The sequence below is a fragment of the Homo sapiens genome, chromosome 7 (assembly GCF_000001405.40).
Source record: "Homo sapiens chromosome 7, GRCh38.p14 Primary Assembly".
In the NCBI taxonomy this organism is placed as follows: Eukaryota; Metazoa; Chordata; class Mammalia; order Primates; family Hominidae; genus Homo; species Homo sapiens.
The window spans coordinates 16,659,002-16,679,281 of NC_000007.14; the positions used below are offsets into that span (position 1 = coordinate 16,659,002).

The window sequence follows — 20,280 nt, forward strand, 5'->3', positions numbered from 1 at the left end:
GAGGAATCCCAGCAATTTGGGAGGCTGAGGCAGGAGGACTGCTTGAGCTCAAGAGTTCGAGACCAGCCTGGGCAACATGGCGAAACTCTTAAAAACTAAAAAAAAACAATAAAAAAAGTATATTCTCCTCAAAAATGTATATATTTTCCAGTGAAGAACTTTAATGGTGGACTCTTTACTTGTGCCAACTATCTACCTTATAAAGAGTTATTAAAGCCCAAATAACTCGTGTCATGTTTTGAATTTTAATTTTTTTTCAATTATTATAAATACTACAACTTTCATAGTATTTGTTAGTAATTAAGCTTTTTGTACTGGCTGAGTGATTTTGAGTAGGCAGAGGCTGTTACAAAATCATGATAAGGATATTAAACAAGCTAATGTTATTTCAGGCAACAAATTGTATAGTGTTATTATAGGCATATAGTTAGTTTGTTGCTTAGAGTGTCAATAATTTAAACTTTTAGAACCAACTTAATTATTTTTTGTTTCTTTGGAGAGAATGATAATACAATGTTATCAACCCAAAAGATTCCTAGATTCCTTTATTTTCTGTAAAGGATTTTATGTTACTTGTTCTTTTAATTTTAGCATTAATGGAAAGGAAAATGTTGTATAGTTATGGGTAATTTTTAAAGTTTATTTTAATAGTAGATAATTTTACTCATTTAAAATATAGAATAAAAGGTAATTCTTGAAACTTGTTATTAAATACAAAGTACTTCATGAGAACACTGCAGTGAAGTGTCTCAATTTTATTGAGTTTTGTGTGTTGTTATTATATCTTTATGAAACGTTTTATACTTTGGGAATGATATTGTTGCCCTATAATTTTTGTTTTTATTTTTTTATTTTTTTTTTTATTATACTTTAAGTTCTAGGGTACATGTGCACAACGTGCAGGTTTGTTACATATGTATACAGGTGCCATGTTGGTGTGCTGCACCCATTAACTCGTCATTAACATTAGGTATATCTCCCAATGCTATCCCTTCCCCCTCCCCCACCCCACAACAGGCCCCTTCCTGTGTCCACGTGTTCTCATTGTTCAGTTCCCACCTATGAGTGAGAACATGCGGTGTTTGGTTTTTTGTCCTTCAGATAGTTTGCTGAGAATGATGGTTTCCAGCTTCATCCATGTCCCTACAAAGGACATGAACTCATCCTTTTTTATGTTGTTGCCCTATAATTTTTAGACTCCAAAGTCTTTTTTCCACCTTGGGCAACATGGGGAAACCCTGTCTCTATCAAAATATATAAAAAATTAGCCGGGCCTGGTAGTGTGCCTGTAGTCCTAGCTACTTGGGAGGATCTTTTGAGCCCACGTGGTCGGGGCTGCAGTGAGCAGATATCACACCCCTGCATTTTAGCCTGGGTGACAGAGCGAGACTCCATATTTAAAAAAAAAAAAAAAAAGGTCTTTTTTTCCTAAAGTCTTAAACAGTATTGACTGCACACAGAGTGTTACTTTGGAATGTGGTAATTTTTCTTTTTTCCTCACTCTAGCCACCTGGCTTTGAAATTTGTGCAGACTACTCTTCGAGCTACTTTATTTGAAAAATATTAATTAAAAATTTCTATTCTTTAGATGTATTTTTATCTTTGTATCAAATTTAAGTGTTTTGGGACATAAGAATTGCACAGCCTAACATAAGTAACCATTAGCCACACTGTTTAAATTTAGTTAATGGAAATAAAATAAAATTAAACATTTATTTGTCTAGTCACTAGCCGCATTTCAAGGGATCAGTAGTGGCTACTATATTAGATAGTGCTGATAGAGAACGTTTCCATCATCACAGACACTTCTATTGGATACAATGCGCTAGAATAGGAGTTCACAAAGGACCTCCTGGGGGTCCAATCTGGTCCACCACTTGTTGTGTTAATATGAAGTTTTACTGGAATACAGCCATGACCATTTGTCTGCATATTGTCCATGGCTGCTTTCACACTGTAACAGCAGAATTGAGTGGTTGGAACAGAAACCTTATATCCCTCAGAGAGAGTAAAATATTTTTCTTTTATTTCTTTACAAAAAATGTTGTGTTCCCTGCTTTAGAGTATATATGCTCATAAAGTTGTTTGAATAACATATGCATAGCACATGTTAGTAATATAGCATGTTACGTAAGGCAGGTTATCATAGTTCAAAGATGAGTCATACCAGAGCAGTCAAAAATAGAATCTAAGACCAAAGTGCTGGATAATTAGACAGGAGCAGTCATTCCCTTGTAGGGACAACTAGAAGGTAAGTCCTCTGGTAGATCAGTTTCTTTCCAAAATGGAGAGAACTAAAGAAGAGTCCCAGGTAAGACTGATCAGTCTACATCGAAGGTGCTAATCCACTTAAGGTGGGCTGGGTAACTGGAAGGATTAGTGCACAGTTGCTATGAGATGCATCTGTGCCAGTGTGGCTCATTGTCACACCTGGGCCCAGAGTCTCATTGCAAGTTAAGGGACCGAATTTGAAAAAGATGCTAGGACAGTTAGAAGATTAACAGACTGAGGTAGGTAACAGAAATAAATGTAATAGGTTAGACCTAAAAACCTTTCAATTTACACTTAAAATAGGAATTTATGCAAAAGTGTTCGATTCATTAATATAGTATCAAGTTTCTAAATATTTGATTGATTGGATCATTTTAGTATTCTTATCGCCTTCTTTTACCTTGTGGAGTATCCAAGAAATGTAGTCTCTTAGGTGACATGTGAAATACTTAAGTCCATTTTGTTTACCATTTCACATACAATTTTAATATTATTTTAAACCATGGAACTGTTCCATTTTGGTAGAATATGTGTGTATTTTGTGTGTGGCTTATAGTTTTTAAAACAGAAGCCAAATTGTCATGATGCATAGGTTGTACCACCATGGGGATTTGTCTCTGAGGATACTGTTAAACTTTTATTTTTTTAAACTTAAGTATTTTTAGTTATTAGATTTGAAAATACATTGTAGGGCAGTGTACTAACAGCCTTTGACATTGGCCTAATAGAACTGTCTTTGTTATCTTCCTAGGTTGAAGCGAGCAGTTTCTTATTCAAAGTGTCCTTGCTTCTCTTAGGCCAGGGCTTTTATAAGGGCTTAGTGAGTACCTTATAAAGGCTGACCCTTACTGGAGCAGATTATAGTGTAGCATGAAGAGCTAAATTTAGAGGGAAGTGGGGCCTCTGCTCCAAATAGTAACAGCTAAAGGATAGACACTCTTGGAGAGCAGAATATCTTTATTTAGTCTGTCACCACCAGTGGGTGAGTTTTTGTTTGTTTGTGTTAATTTTGGGTGTTATACCAAAGTCTTTGCATACATTTTTATGTTTACATGTTATCATGTGTTTCTCCACATGGAATGTATCGAGGGTATGAAAAGTAAGCCCACATACCTGGGTTATAAAGAAACAAACTTTTATGCTTAGAAAGGAAGTAAGTATAAAAGCTAAACATTTGAAAATAGAGTAATTCTTTCATATGCTGTGTTTGGTGGTACTTCTCCATTAACAGAAAAAAGAAAAACAAGGTGCAAAGAGTTAATTAGGGAATTCCATGAGTTTGTGTTCTAAACCCCAAAACAAAACTTTTAGGAAGGACTCACACTTTAGAATTTTTGAAATTACAAATTAAAAACCATTTTTAGCCTGGCACAGTGGTGTGCGCCTGTAATCCTAGTTACTCAAGAGGCTGAGATGAGAGAATTGCTTGAGTCCAGGAGTTTGAAGTCACCCTGGTCAACATAGTAACACCCTCATCTCTAAGGAGGTAGAGAGAGAGAAAAAAGGAAGGAAGGAAGGAGAGAGAAAGAAAAAGAAAGGACGGAAAGAAAGAAGAAAAACATCTTTGGCAGAGAAGTCTGCTGGAGAGATTTCTGTCCAGTTGAGCTACATTCTTTTTGCATCTTGGTACAAGACCCAACACCCAAATTCTTGACACATATTTTTCTTTGCTAACACAAATATATTTTGTATAATATTTGTGTTTGGGAGATATGGAGACAATAATATGTATATCATCATCACTTTTGCAACAATAAAGTATTGGCTGATTCAGAGTGAATCTGTTTATAATGCCAGCAGGAAAGTTTCTGAATGAAACTTTTGCAGTGAATATAAATGATGCATTAGAAGCTCTATTTTCAACATCCATCAAATGAAATGGGAATTCATTGATTAAGTTTATAGCATTTGTAATGATTTCGATATGTTGCTGTTGCCCCCATACACATAAGCAATCAATTACTTTATTCTTACACTGGTCTGTGTTTCTACTGTTTGAACTATTACATTGTGTTGCAAATGTTTGAATTTTATCCTTCCTAGTGAGTTTCTCGAGGGCATGGATTCTGGCTTAATAACCTTTGTATCCCCAAGCGTGATGTATTAAGTTCATTTTACTTTATAGGGTTGGCAAAAATTATTTCTCAAGCCATGTAATTACTTTTTTTGTTTTATGTGACTTTTGATTAGTTTCTCTTCTAAAATAATGATTAACTTGACGTTTTCAATAATAAACAGATTTTTTATTATGTGAAGCTACAAGTTTCTCTTTTATGTGTAAGAAGGAAAATTTGGTACATAAATAATTTTTTCATGTTCTTAAGGATTTTTTAAAAAAAACTTTTGGGAGTAATTAAATTACTTGAATAATGTAAATTTTTTATTGTTTGATGGTATAAGTAATTAAGGAAATCTAGACATTTCCAAGTGAATATCTAAAAGCTTTGGAAGGTAATTAAATAATTTGCTTGAATAATGCATGTTATATTGAATGTTTGGACTTCATAATTGAAGCAATCTAGACATATTTTCAGTTTATAATATTTAAGTCAGCAAGCATATTCTCAGTTTTTAAGAAGTCTTGTGGAGCAGGCCTTACATTTTTTCAAAGATAATATATTGCAATTTTTAAATTGTGTATTAAATCCAGTAAAATAGTATAAAGTACTCAAATCCCTGTCCATTAAGGTAAACCAAAAAGATAAAAAATCTATTAACAGTTTCTTGTAGCCTTCTTAAATTGTTATTGCATAGAAAACCATATATTCTATACACCCTCCTTTTAACCAAGTACTTTACATTCTTTTATTCAGCTTGCTTTTTTCCACTATCAATATCCCTTGAGCATCTTTCCATAACAGTCCAGCAACTTATTTGAAAAGTATTTATTATATGTTTATACTTTGCTCAATATAAAAGATACAGAATGGAGGAGCTAAAGGAGCTCTATGGAATAAAAACCTACAAGGTTCCTGTCCTAGTGGAGGTTACACTCATGGAGGGTATAGACCCCAGACAAAGAGATAATAATAAAATGGCAGGCACTGCTAAAGAAAAACAAAGCCAAGTAAGGAGAGCTAGTGACAACAGGCCACTTTGGTGGAGATGGTCAGAGAAGACCTCCATTTTCAGGGAGGCATTTGAATGATTGCAAGGAGATAGCCATGTGGACAGCTGGGGACGATCTTTCCTGAAAGAGAGGCAGGAACAGAGCCTCAGAAGCCAGACCTTATCTGGCCTATTGGAAGAACAACAAAGAGATCAATGTGACTGGAACTCAATGAGCGATGAGACGAGATGTGTATTGAACATACATATACCGTCAGAAAGGTAGCCAGGATCAGAAATGTGGTACAGTTAGATCTAATTCTTGCTTTCATAAAGCTTCGTGGTGTTCCACTTGGTGCCTAAATTATAACTTATTTGAGGACATTTCATGTTCCATTTTTTATGTATACAACAATGCTGCAACTAAATCCTTTTACATATACAAGTATATTTGCATTCTTGTGTGAATATAGCTACAGGATAAATTCCTGGTAGAGTACTGCTGGACCAAGGTTATGCCCATGTAAATGTTTATAGTAAATACTCACCAAAATTTTCCTCAAAGTATTTCATGGAGTTTAACCTTTACATCAAAGTTGGTGTCTGTGGTTGTTTTTCCTATGTCCTTTGCCAACACTGAGTATTAGTAAACTTTAAAATTTTTGCTAGTCCAAGTTAAAATTAGATCTCATTTTTAAAAGTGTATTTATGCCGGGCGCCGTGGCTCACGCCTGTAATCCCAACAGTTTGTGAGGCCAAGGTGGGTGGATCACAAGGTCTGGAGTTCAAGACCTGGCCACCATGGTGAAACCCCGTCTCTACTAAAAATACAAAAATTAGCTGGGCGTGGTGGCTCACGCTTGTAGTCCCAGCTACTCAGGAGGCTGAGGCAGGATAATCACTTGAACCCGGGATGCAGAGGTTGCAGTGAGCTGAGATCACACCACTGCACTCCCACCTGGGCGACAGCGAGACTCTGTCTCAATTGAAAAAAAAAAAGAGGCATATTCAGTAATGAGTGAGGTTGAACATATGTTCAACCAAACTTATTGGCCATATGTTTTCCATATAAACTGCTTATCTGAAATACATAATCTTTATTTTCTTTGTTTTCAGAAATTTTATGAATAAGCATCAGAAGCCAGTGCTAACAGGCCAGCGGTTCAAAACTCGGAAAAGGGGTAGGTTGTGTGTGTGTGTGTGTGTGTGTTTAAAGTTGTAACCAAAATATAAGATTGGAGAAGAATCTGAATGATCCCTGTTTCCCCCAGCCTCACTGATTCTACTCATTTGAGCTCTGAGTGTAGAATCTGAAGTGCTTTAGTGAAACCATAGAACTGCCAGTTACTTGTTGGACAAGTTATTTAATTTGCCTGTGCTACTTGTTTTCATCTACAGAATGGGATAGATATCTCTGTTCAGGTTGTCTTAGGAGGTTATGAAGGCAATTGATAAATTTTACTGGTTTTGACATTAGCATTGTATTTGGTTTTTGCTTTCTTTGTCGTTTTATGAAAACGTTGATGGCAAAGATGATAAAATGAAAAGTAAATTAGGAAGTGAGATATTGAAGAGTTTTTTAATTTTTCAGAAATGAAGAAGTCAAAATAAATCTACTGCCCTAAATTCCCCTTAAAAACCATATTTTCAAGTGTCTTCAATTGTGGTAAGAGTAGTTATAGACCCATTTTGATGATGACTGGTAAAATTTCTATTTGTGTGAGTGACTGTTTTTTTATAATGTTCATCTTAGCATTCTTTTTGTGTAAATAATATTTTATATATTTTTTTAGAGACAGGGTCTTGCACTGTCACCCAGGTTGGAGTGCAGTGGTGTGATGATAGCTCACTGCATCCTCAAACACCTGGGCTCAAGTGGTCCTTTCACCTCAGCCTCCCAAGTAGCTGGGACTATAGGTGCACACCACCACACCTGGCTACGTTTTAAAAAAATTTTTTTGTAGAGACAGGGTCTCAAACTCCTGGCCTCAAGCAGTCCTCCTCCCTTGGCCTCCCAAAGTGCTGAGATTGTGGATGTGAGCCACTGCACCTGGCCTGTATAAAAGACTTTTATTTATTTATTTATTTATTTATTTATTTAGAGACGGAGTCTTGCTCCGTCGTCAGGCTGGAGTGCAGTGGCGCCATCTCGGCTCACTGCAACCTCCTCCTCCCAGGTTCAAGCGATTCTCCTGCCTCAGCCTCCCAAGTAGCTGGGATTACAGGCAACCGCCATCATACCCAGCTAATTTTTGTATTTTAAGTACAGACGGGGTTTCACCATATTGGCCAGGCTGGTCTCGATCTCCTGACCTTGTGATCCGCCTATTTATTTATTATTAATTAATTAGTGGCTTATTTATTTTTGAAATAGGGTCTTGCTCTGACACCTAGGCTGGAATACAGTGGTGCCATGACAGCTACTGCAGACTCAACCTCCTGGGCTCCAGTGCTCCTCCCACCTCAGCCACCCAAGGAGCCACTTTTGTGTGGAGACAAGGTCTTGCTATGTTGTTGAAGCTGGGTTCAAGCGATGTTCATGTCTTAGCCTCCCAGAGTGATGGGATTACAGGCATGAGCCACTACACCAAGCCAAGAATATTTTAAACATGATTTTATATTTAGTCAGTTTTGCATAATTATATAGAGGTCCTCTTGGATGTAAGAATAGCTGAACTGGGGCCAGGCGTGGTGGCTCATGCCTGTAATCCCAACACTTTGGGAGGCCGAGGCGAGTGGATCACCTAAGGTTGGTAGTTTGAGACCAGCCTGACCAACATGGAGAAACCCAGTCTCTACTAAAAGTACAAAATTAGCCAGGCGTGGTGGCGCATGCCTGTAATCCCAGCTATTCTGGAGGCTGAGGCAAGGAGAATCGCTTGAACCCAGGATTGGGAGGTCAGTGAGCCGACATTGCACCACTGCACTGCAGCCTGGGCAACGAGTGAAGCTCCATCTCAAAAAAAAAAAAACAAAAAAAAAAACGCTGAACTGGAACTCAATAGGGAAACTTTTTCAAAGAGGAAACATGATGTGAGTGATTAAATTAAATAAAGTTGAAGGGAATTACTGAAAAATATTTAAGGAAGTATGTATAAAGGTAAAAGATGTTGGAGCAGAATCACATGTAATGATCTTGCAGGACTAAATTATCTCTTTAATAACTGACTTTATATGCCTTTGGCAGTCAGTGCTAAGCAGCCTGTGTTCTCTTGCAGTGCTGTCTCCATTTAAGTAACAAGTCTAGTCACGTAGACGGAAAAGAAATTGCAATATAATAGATCATTTGGATCAGAAGAGTTTGTAAGAGTCACTAGGAAGCAGTAAGACTGAATTTAACTGTGTGCTATCTGCTGGGAAGCTTCATGTTCAAAGTAAAATATAAAAATTAAAAAAAATTCAAGTGACCGGAAAATAGTTACTTTGTACAGTTTTTCTGTTTTGCACTCTCCCTTTTCTATTTTTTTCATTTCTGGCCTATCCGCATGAGAAGAATAAGTACAAGTATAGCCTGAGCCACTTCTCTATTTAGTCCTCATCTTACTCTTACAAATTGTGCCCCACTACATTGCCCCTTGCCATCTGGAAGCAGATATCAAACACAAAGTGCTAACCAGAATTCATTGTCTTATTGTTTAAAGCAGTCTTGGAAAAAAGGACATGGATGATTTTAAAAGGATTTATCAGTAATGACCAATATAGTTCAGAAACCTAATTACAGTGAAGGTATTGTGGAGCCTAGTAATGTGATAATAGCTAATATATGCCCAGCTATGAGGCACAGAAACGTTGGCTATTGCCTGCCGCTGGGGGATCGTGTTAATCTCAGAGCTGGATCTCCACCTCAAGCATCTTTATTAGTGTGACGCTAATTCACTGGAACTGAGCTCAAGAGAGGGCCTCAGAATGTGTTGCACAACAGCAGACGTGAGTCAGCGAGTAAACTGGCCCTTACGTTTGTCTTCAGTTAAGAACCAGAAAGTTTTCTCTCCTTCAGAACCGGTTTGCCTCTGAATCACTTGGTGGTCAAGATTGTGCTGTTGGAGTGCTCAGGGAGAGCCACTGAGAAATATATATTATTTGCCAGTTGATCTAGATTCATATAACTCATATCTCTTGGGGATTGAAGCAACACTTGAGCCATTTTGTGCCAAACTCCTGATGGGGGAATAAAAATTGAGTCAACTTCATTTTCTGCTCTTCTTAGTAGTGAAACGCCTCCTGATGATTTCTCATCCTTAACTTTTCTTTGCTATTATGAAGGGGCTGACATCAAATAAGTGATTAGCAATTTTGTAGAGCTGGGGAAAATTACTACTGAGGATATTTCAAGGTCCTTGTGATAGGCTGTTTTCTGAAGATAGGTCTTCACTTTGAAACATTTCCTAGCAAAGCCAGTGCTCCTGCATGCCAAGTTAGTATGACAATGTATTTCTTATTGCATTGTCGTTACTGCTTAGCATTAAAATACAAACGTCATGGCAGGACACATTATATAATAGAACTCTAATCAGATTCTCTTTTCCTTTATGAAACACATCTCACTTATGATATATTCTCCAAAGTAATTATGTTTTTTCCTGTGACTTGTGAAAATCTGAAAAGATGAAAATTTCTCCCATGAGCAATTGGATTATGCTTTGCTAAATGAAACATTTAATAATCAAACTGTTCTTTCTGTACATTTTTAGAAAAATTGGATTACAATTAGTGAAAACAAGAGAGAGAAAAAAAGGCCAAACTGCAGGCATTCAGCATGACCATGTGCTCAGGTTTCTCCCTGAGACTTTAGCTCTGTAAATAATGTTTTTTGTTTTTGTTGTTGGAGACAGTCTCACTCTGTCATCTAGGCTGGAGTTCAGTGGCGCAATCTCAGCTCACTGCAGCCTCTCCCTCCCAGATTCAAGTGATTCTTGTGCCTCAACCTCCCGAGTAGCTGGGATTACAGGCGTGCACCACCACACCCAGCTAAGTTTTGTATTTTTTAGTAAACCTGAAGTTTCATCATGTTGCTCAGGTTCGTCTCAGAACGCCTGGGCTCAAGTGATCCATCTACCTTGGCCTCCCAAAGTGCTGGGATTACAGGCGTGAGCCACCATGCCCAGCCATGTAATATTGGTTTTAAATCACTTTTAGCTTTATAGTAAGTGGTGTTAATAACTAAATGAGCAAACCTTTAAATCTTGAAATATATGTGCAAATATGAGTATGTGTATATATATAATTAGAAAATACATTTGATTTTACAGGAAAAAAGAAAATATGTGATTTTTAAAATTCATTGCTACATCTCAGTGACATCCAGAAAGGGATGTAGGTTCTGCTATTATATCACTTCACTAATGTGTTTTTAACCAGTTACTGTAGTTCCCACAGTAAGCAAGTTAGGTAATGTATACGCATATTTGAGTGTCAGAATTAGGCCCATTTCTTCTCTATGTCAGTACAAGGGCTATGATGACTAACTCTTGAGTATCACAATTATGATTCACCAGCACAGTTTAAATTGGAGACCCTAATTATATCCTTCTCACTTCAAGGCAGACTTGAACTGCCAAATGGAAATCCAAGGAGGCAATGGCATATTTTCATTCGAATTTTGTTAGTATTTCTGCTAGACTGTCCTCTAATAAAATGCAAACTACATTTACTGTACTTTCAGATGAAAAAGACTCTTTAGTTCCAAAGTTGTCTTGTTTCTCAAGTTTTCATTAGTGTTCTTGCCATTTTCTTATATGGGAATTTTCTAGTCCTTTTGATGGTCACTTTGTTTTAGCAGCTGGGAGCTTTTTTCAGCCTGCAAAACAATTATTAGTCCTTTCGGTCCATCATAAGTTTTTAAGATTTCCAAGCTGTAAGTAATCATTTTGACCTACCACCCTTATTGCTCACTGTTGAAATATCCTTGGCTGTAGTATGCTATCTTCCTTTTTCTGTTTGCTGGTAATTCTTTTGGAATGGGAGGATGAAGATCTTTTTACAAACAAGTTTTTAAGTTGTGTCTTACATTGAAAACAAAGTCCTCTGCATTGATTCTTGGCATAATCTGGGTTTTTCCTCATTTATCCATTTACATTTCCCAATGCCTCCATTTGTAATTTTCAAATCATCAAAATCTGTTCTACCACCTGAATCAACATCCAACCATGTGGTAGGGCCTTTGTGGGAATGACTTTATTTGATTTTGGAAACTGGTCACAAGACTTAATATAACAGCATGTAGTTGTTTTATTTCCACCTTTCTCATATTATAGGAAAGAAAATATCTTTTTTCAACAAGGAAGGAGAATTGCCTGTTGGCTAGACCCTGAGTGGGAGGTGAAGTTTTCTGTGCTTTTCAGTGGGTTCCTTTTGTGTAGAAACCCAGTTATCCCCTCCTCCCACTCCACCTAATGTATTCCTCTAGAATTCCTATGCGTTTTCCTCCCCCTCTACACAACAAGACCCTAATTATATTTTTTCTGCAGTCACCATTTGCATGTTCTTGACTGCATAATGTTTTGCTTACAGCATCAAAAGGACTTTTTATCTCTTGTTCATGATGAATATTGTCCCAGTTAATTTATGTGTGTCTTTATGGTATCTCACGCTGCGTGACTCTGACTGGTACTGGGAATGCCATTCTTCTCTGGTTCTCATGCTTATGTGACTAGTGTTAACCACTTACAACCCAGCCCTTCTGTTAGACCACTTACAAGCAGTACAAACTAGGCAGTTGCTATATGGTTTTAAAATGTAGTTTTTAATTTTATCAAAGTTATGCATGCACATAGTATGGCTAGTTCTTGATTTTTTCTGTTGGAGATAGTAGATATGCCTTTTCTACTATGGAAAATGATGATTCAGCTCTCTTTCATTGCTTGCTTCCCCCCATCCCCATACTTCCTGTCCTTCTCTATTCTTTCATTGTATCATATAGTTTCAGCTACACCAATGTTTAGGGTTTATATTTTTGTGACATTGTACATGCTATTCACAGCTGAACTATGATATGACTGCATTTTTAAAAAATAACGTTATTTTGTTATCTCTTGATTTAATAAATGTAATTATCTCTTGAGTTGGGGGGCCTTAGTTTTCTGTGCCTTAAAACTAGCCCACCCTAACCTTTCCCTTTGTTGTACGAATCTCTTAATACAAAACACTTAAGGAAAAGCTTGAAATGTCCTTTCACCATTATCCACAAGAGTACTATTGCCTGTCTTGTTTTTTCCCTCTTGCCTGGGATCTCATGACTTACTCTTCAGTTATTATCCATTTTTGAGGCCTTGGGTGTTTCAGTATATGTATGTTCGTATTGCTCTTACCCTTGATTAGTAGTTTGGCTGGGCCAGGCACAGTGGCTCATGCCTGTAATCCGAGTACTTTGGGAGGCCAAGGCAGGTGGATCTTTTGAGGCCAAGAGTTTGAGACCAGCCTATGCAACATGGCAAGATCCTGTCTGTACTGAAAATACAAAAGCTAGCTGGGTGTGGTGGCATGTACCTGTAGTCCCAGCTACTTGGGAAGCTGAAGCAGGAAAATCACATGAACCCAGGAGGCAGAGGTTATGGTGAGCCAAGATTGCGCCACTGCCCTCCAGCCTGGGTGACAGAGTGAGACCCTGTTTCAAAAAAAAAAAAAAAAATCGGAACACTAACAAGAATTCTAGGCTGGAAATACTTTTCCATAAGAATTTTGAAGAAATGTCTTCTGTGTCTGGTATTTCTGTTGAGCAATTTAGTTGCTTGATAAGTTTTACATACCACTTGTTTTTTTATCACCCCGGAAACTTCAGATAATTGCTTTGTTCCCAGTATTCTGAAATCTCACAGTAATCAATGTACTTTGTGTGAATCCACTTTCAGTCTTTGTGCTGGGTTCCCAGACAGCCATGTACTTGGAAACAATCTTTCATTTCTGGGAGATTTATTGAGATTTTTCAAAAAATTTCCTTTCCTTTGTTTTCTCATTCTGTCTATTCGATGTATTTTTTTGGATATTTGACAGGTCTGCCCTTTTTCTCTTCTTTTTGCTACTATTTTCTAGGTCTTTGACCTTTTTTCTATTTTCTGAAAGATAATCTTAGGTTTCTCTTAATGCTTCCATTGAGTTTTTTACTTTTCCTATCATATTTTTTATTTCCAAGAACTCTTTATTTATGAAATATTTTTATAGTATTCTCTTCCCTCCATCCCTCCCACTTCTGTTGCAGTATCTTTCACCTTTCTCTCTAGAGAGATCTGTGATACAATTTTTTCTTTTGAAGTTTTGGGTTCATCCTTTGCTCCTCTCTCCTCACATCCAGACTTATTCTCCATGGGTTTGGAAAAAAAGGGTGATGTCCTTTGAGTTGAACTACAGACCCTTTACCTTTAATCCACTCATTCTTTTCCACCAAATCTGACATGTGGTTTGTCATCTTCACTTCTTATCAACAGTATATGATCCCTGCTTTGTTCAAGACCTGGCTCCAAGTCGACCTTCCACAAGGTTTTGCTAGAGTCTAAACCAAAACTCTTTCCAAACCCAAACTTCCAGTCACCACACCAAACTACTTCTGCAGACTCATGTGTCCATTTCACTGTGACAGCTCATTTATGCTTTTCATGTGTGCCTTTGTGATTGCTCTGTGTTTGTCTTATCCACTTTCTTTTTTTTTTTGAAACGGAGTCTCGCTCTGTCACCCAGGCTGGAGTGCAATGGCGCGATCTTGGCTCACTGCAAGCTCCGCCTCCCGGGTTCAAGTGATTCTCCTGCTTCAGCCTCCCGAGTAGCTGGGACTAACAGGGGCCCGCCACCACCCCTGGCTAATTTTTTGTATTTTTAGTAGAGACGGGGTTTCACCACGTTAGCCAGGATGGTCTCAATCTTCTGACCTCGTGATCCGCCCGCCTCGGCCTCCCAAAGTGCTGGGATTACAGGCGTGAGCCACCACGCCCGGCCTTGTCTTATCCACTTTCTAAGGAAAAAAAGCTACATAATATCTATATCCCTGTCAGTCCTCTGAAGCCCCACAAAATCAAAACCATTTTTATAATGATACCAAGATATTCACGTCTTTCACACATTCTCTCATACTTTTACAGTGGAGTTTTCTAGAGTTTAAAGATGTGTGATATTGCAGTAAATTGAATGCAGTGGATATGAAAATTGATCTGTCTGCCATTAAGCCAGGCATTAAAGAGAATTTGCAAGAGTATAAAACAGTACTATCCTTCTCACTAATTTTTTTTTGTTAAATAAATACTATAAAATGTTTTGTTTTAATTTCTTAAAATAAATATCCATAGATTGAACCTCCATAAACAAAAACTCCCTTTGGAATGCTTTGGAGTTAGGATTCCAAAGAGTTTTTGGGTTAGGATCCAAAACTTTGGAATTAGGGTTCCAAAGTTTAGAATCCTAATCCTTTGTAATTAGGATTCCAGAGTCTTTTTCCAAAGGATACTTTGGAATCCTAATTCCAAATGTACATTTTAAGTGTCAAGAGGTCATGAGACCAAAAAGTTTAGCACATCTGTCCTGAAGCTGTAGATATACATATATGGCTCATTACATCTATTAAATATTTAAGTACTCTGCAATAAGTTATTATTATTATTTTTAATTTTTTTGAGACAGCGTTTCACTCTTGTCTCCCAGGCTGGGGTGCAATGGCACTGTCTCTGCTCACCGCAACCTCCACCTCCTGGGTTCAAGTGATTCTCCTGCCTCAGCCTCCCAGTAGCTGGGATTACAGGCACCCACCACCATGCCCAGCTAATTTTTTATATTTTTAATAGAGACGGAGTTTCATTGTTTTGGCGAGGCTGGTCTCGAATTCCTGACCTCTGGTGATCCACCTGCCTTGGCCTCCCAAAGTGCTGGGATTACAGGCGTGAGCCACCGCGCCCGGCCTACAGTAACTTATTTTAAAAGAGACATCCCTTCTTATTCCCCTATGCCATCTTTATTTGTTTGTTTATATTTGTATATTCTCGTACATTCTTTGGCGATGCTCTGTGGATTTTTTTTTCCTATCTTAGATAAAATAGAATTAAAGTTTTGATTGTTATACTCTCAGTATTTATTTATTTATTTGACTGTTATTTTGAATTGTTTTATTTTAGATGAAAAAGAGAAATTCGAACCCACAGTCTTCAGGGATACACTTGTCCAGGGGCTTAATGAGGCTGGTGATGACCTTGAAGCTGTAGCCAAATTTCTGGACTCTACAGGCTCAAGATTAGATTATCGTCGCTATGCAGACACACTCTTCGATATCCTGGTGGCTGGCAGTATGCTTGGTAAACCATGCATTATCGCTTCTTGTAGTATATTTATATATTTTTAATTCTGTTGAAGTATTTCCTTATAAGATAGAGTCTTTATAAGTTTATGTTTATTAGAGTTAATAAAAATACAAATGGAAGCCTATAATTTTACCTGGTTTAGGATTTGGAATGGTATTAATGCAGATGTGAAATGATTATTGGTTAATAGAAGCATAGAATGGAGGACTTTGGTTGACGTTACAACAAAGTTGGCCACTTTGCTTCTCCTAAAAGCCGCCTTTCTCATATGTCCCTAATCTTTCAGTGTTTTTGGTGGGGCCATAAAAGGGGTAATTTCTGCAAAATACTATAACTTAGTGTATAAATTTCCAAGGTTTAATTAATGCCATTTCATCCATAAATAAAGCATATAAGAAATATAGTTTAAACCTGGTTTTTGAAAAATCATTTAAATTTTAAGTAAGTAGAAAAATTAAAGATAGAAGATTAGAAATTGTTAAAGATAGGTGAAAACAAAATAAAAGCTATACCTTATAGAACAGAGGCATCAGGAAAGTAGGCTTCAAATGCTATTTAAGTTTATTAAGTAGATGATTCTAATATTTATTAAGTATAATAGCCACCCATTTTTCCTCTCATAGTCATTCTTAGATCTGAGTTCTTATCGTTAGTTCCTGTCGTAGCTGTAAATCACTAGAAACGGTCAAATTTCCTAGGCCAGGAATTTTCAGTTTGCAAATGTGTGCAAGTGTTTTAGTTGTTAAAAAGACTTAAGCGGGGAGGGCAGGTATTTGTCTACCTGCTATGCAAAGAACATGCAACATAATGAAAGATTGCCTTGCCCAAAGTGCCATCATTGCCTTTCCTTGAGAAAACACTGCTTAAGCCAGCCTACCTTGGCTTTGAAAAAGAATGTGCATACATTCCTCCATCTTGAGGTGGAACTGCCCGTAAATTCCTTTTTCTCTGAGCTCTTATTTCAAGCAATCTGTTTGGTACATGGCCCCATTGACTACTAGGCCTTCTGTCATTCTGCCTTGCTAGTTTTCACCACATACTGAATTAGTTTTGTTGTTCTTATTGTTTATGAAGAGCTTACATTATGACTGTAAATAATTCAAGTCTAAGTATAACAGCTATCTATATTGAGCTCAAATCCCATTACCCGGGAAAAATCATTGTTAACATTTTGGTTACTTCCCTTCTGGAAATCTCTTTAGCAGCCGGGCGTGGTGGCTCACGCCTGTAATCCCAACACTTTGGGAGGCTGAGGCGGGCGGATCACCTGAGGTCAGGAGTTCGAGACCAGCTTGGCCAACATGGTGAAACCCCGTGTCTATAAAAAAATACAAAATTTAACAGGATGTGGTGGCGGCTGCCTGTAATCCCAGCTACTAGAGATGCTGAGGCAGGAGAATCACTTGAACCTAGAAGGCAGAGGTTACAGTGAGCTGAGATCGAGCCTCTGCACCCCAACCTGGGTGACAGAGCGAGATTCTCTCTCGAAAAGAAAAAAGAAATCTCTTTACCTCATAAAATTTTGAGACTGGGTGACATTATGCAAATACGATATTCTGCATGCTGATTTGTATTTATTCAGCAATATGTTGCTGCCTTGCACACCCATCAGTGTTATACTGGATGATTCTAAAAAGAATTAAAGCCAAACGGATGTTAAAGAATATTTAGGGGCTGGGCACGGTGGCTCACACCTGTAATCCCAGCACTTTGGGAAGCCAAGGCAGGCAGATCACCTGAGATCGGGAGTTCGAGACCAGCCTGACCAACGTGGAGAAACCCTGTCTCTACTAAAAATACCAAATTAGCTGGGCATAGTGGTGGGTGCCTGTAATCCCAGCTACTCAGGGGGCTGAGGCAGGAGAATCTCTTGAATCCAGGAAGTGGAGGTTGCAGTGAGCCGAGATCACACCATTGCGATCTTCAAAAGGAACATTATATTTAATATTTTATCAAAAATTATGAGTTCCTATTTACATACACCTTTAACAATGTTAGCTACCTAATTTCATCAGTTCTCTAGATCTCTGTCAATTAGGTAAGGGATGAGTATTTTCATTTTAAAACTTTAATAGTGGAGTTGAATATTTCCTAATATATTATTGACTTCTAGTATTTCGTTAATTATGATATATTTTTATCAGAGTGATCTTCAGCGAGTTTTGGTTCTTGCCAAAGTCACATGACTGTAGTAGTCACTTATATGGACCCTTTTCAGACTGAGTGACCTCTAGGCAGCACTGTTGGCCCTTTTGTCATTCTTGAACTCTTTTATTTTCTTCCCTTACACGAGACCACTTAGACCTCCTTCTACCTCTCTGCATGCCACTTCTTACATTACTCCTGGCTTCCATCGTTAACCACCTCCCCATATAAAATTATCTGTATAATTTGTGTTGAGTTTCTTAAAGTTTCCTTTACCATGATCAGCAGATTTATCTCTGTAGCCCAGATTTCTTTTTTTTTTTTTTTTTGGCAGTTGCAAGATTTAATGGAGTGAAAACAGAGCTCCCATACAAAGGGAGGGGACCCAAAGAGGGTAGCCATTGCTGGCTTGAATGCCTGGGTTTATATCCCAGTCATTATCCTTCCCACTGTGCTCTCAGGCAATAGATGATTGGCTATTTCTTTGCCTCCTGTTTTTGCCTAATTAGCATTTTAGTGAGCTCTCTTTACTACCTGATTGGTCGGGTGTGAGCTAAGTTGCAAACCCCATGTTTAAAGGTGGATGTGGTCACCTTCCCAGCTAGGCTTAGGGATTCTTAGTCACCCTAGGAAATCCAGCTAGTCCTGTCTCTTAGTACCCCCTCTCAACAGGAAAACCTAAGTGCTGTTGGCGAGGTTGGCCAACGACCGCTCTAACTTCTTCCTGCTGAATTGAGGTGTAGTAGGGGTTGTGTAGTTGAGATTTCCTCGGGAGGGGTGCCTTCAATGTCATTAACATTGGAGCATGGGCTAGCAGGCCGGTCCAGGGGTCCACGGTAGATCTTATTCATGGACTGCATCTGGGGCTCCATTTGAAGAACATTTTTAGTTTTACAGCTTCGATTCTGGAAGAGACAAACTTAACAAGGAGGTTAAAGATACAGGGATTGAAATGTATGGCCTGCAGTGCAGGGGATTATTTCTTTGGCACACTTCACAGGCCCTGACTATCTGCTTGATAGTTTTGAAAAGGCCTGGTCCAGTAAATAATAATTTGGGCGTCTGGGTGCTATCAATGCCTAAGTGAAAGGTTTGGTGAAGGGTTTTAAGTAATTTCCATTGGTTAGTGCAGCCCAGATTTCACTTCTTCACTGCATGTCTATACATTCAAGAAGAACATAGGGCCAAACGTTTTGGTATAAGCTATGCAACACCAGATGTCTACTGAGTCCGGACATGTGACGTAAGGACTGAAGCCAGCTAGGTGCATTCTTCTTACATAAATGCTTTGTTTAATTATTATGTAGAAATTTTCCTGACACTCACAATTTACCTTCTTCCATTGTTCTTTTTTTTTTTTTTTTTTTTTTTTTAATGCTGTCGCCCAGGCTGGAGTGTTGGCTCACTGCAACTTCCGCCTCCTGGAATCAGGCAATTATCTCGAGTAGCCGGGATTACAGGCGTGTGCCGGCACACCCAGCTAATTTTGTAATTTTAGTAGGGATGGGGTTTCCACCATGTTGGCTAGGCTGGTCTCGAACTCCTGACCTCAGGTGATCTGTCCCAAAGTGCTGGGATTACAAGCATGGGCCACCACGCCCGGCCCCATTGTTCTTAAAATAGCAGCTATCTTGGTCTTTCAATATTACCCTTCGTATAGTAAATACAATAAATGTATTAAGTTCACTTCTACCTTGAGAAAAACAGCAGTCACTCCAAAAACGTTAGAAATGGCAAACAATACTTTGTCCTAATATCAGCAAAAATTTTAATGCAAGATGTAGCAATATTATTAATATGTAATAAGTGTTTTCTTTCATTAAACAATGTAACTTTAAAAAACATACCTCTCAAAAGTCTGTAGTTTCAATATCAAACTTTTCAGTTTTATAATTTCTATCAAAAGCAATAGCAATAATTAGCCCAGAGTTTTTAGAAGATCATTATCTAAGTTTGTTCCATATCAGGGGAACCAGCCCCCAATATTTCAACGTGGGTTCTTTTCTGTTTTCCCTAAGTGTTGGCCGGTGTGAGAAATAGAGAAAGAGTACAAAAGTAAGAAATTTTACAGCTGGGTCTCGGGGGGTGACATCACGTGTCGGCCTGAGCTGCAAAACCAGCAAGTTTTTATTAGCGATTTCCAAAGGGGAGACAGTGTACGAATAGAGTGTGGGTCACAGAGATCACATGCTTCAAAGGCAATAAAATATCACAAGGCAGATGGGGGCAGAGCAAGATCACAAGGCCAGGGCGAAATTAGAATTACTGATGAAGGTCCATGTCCCGCTGGGCACACACTGTCATTGATAAATATCTTAACAGGAAACAGGGTTTGAGAGCAGACACAACTGGTCTGACTAGAATTTTGCCAGGCTGGAATTTCCCAATCCTAACAAGCCTGGGGGTGCTGCAGGAGACCAGGGTGTATTTCATCCCTTATCTTCAACTGCGTAAGTATTGATTGGGGAAGTGATAAATGTCCATGAAATCTTCACAATTTATGTTCAGAGATTGCAGTAAAGACAGGCTTAAGAAATTATAA

General features: G+C 38.2%; 1 protein-coding gene across 7 annotated transcripts in view; it reads left to right on the plus strand.

Annotated features, from left to right (window-relative positions):
* BZW2 (basic leucine zipper and W2 domains 2) overlaps positions 1 to 20,280 on the plus strand; it is a 60,337-nt gene that overhangs the window by 12,821 nt on the left and 27,236 nt on the right. For 3 of the 7 annotated variants that reach the window (NM_001159767.2, NM_001362718.2, NM_014038.3), the window contains exons 2-3: positions 6,436 to 6,500; positions 15,411 to 15,587. In NM_001159767.2, coding sequence (NP_001153239.1) covers positions 6,443 to 6,500; positions 15,411 to 15,587 — 235 coding nt within the window. In that variant the 5' untranslated portion in view covers positions 6,436 to 6,442. Of the gene's footprint in view, positions 1 to 2,212; positions 3,254 to 6,435; positions 6,501 to 15,410; positions 15,588 to 20,280 lie in introns of those variants that run through there. The other 4 variants (NM_001362717.2, NM_001362719.2, XM_006715707.2 and 1 more) reach the window with 3 other exon arrangements.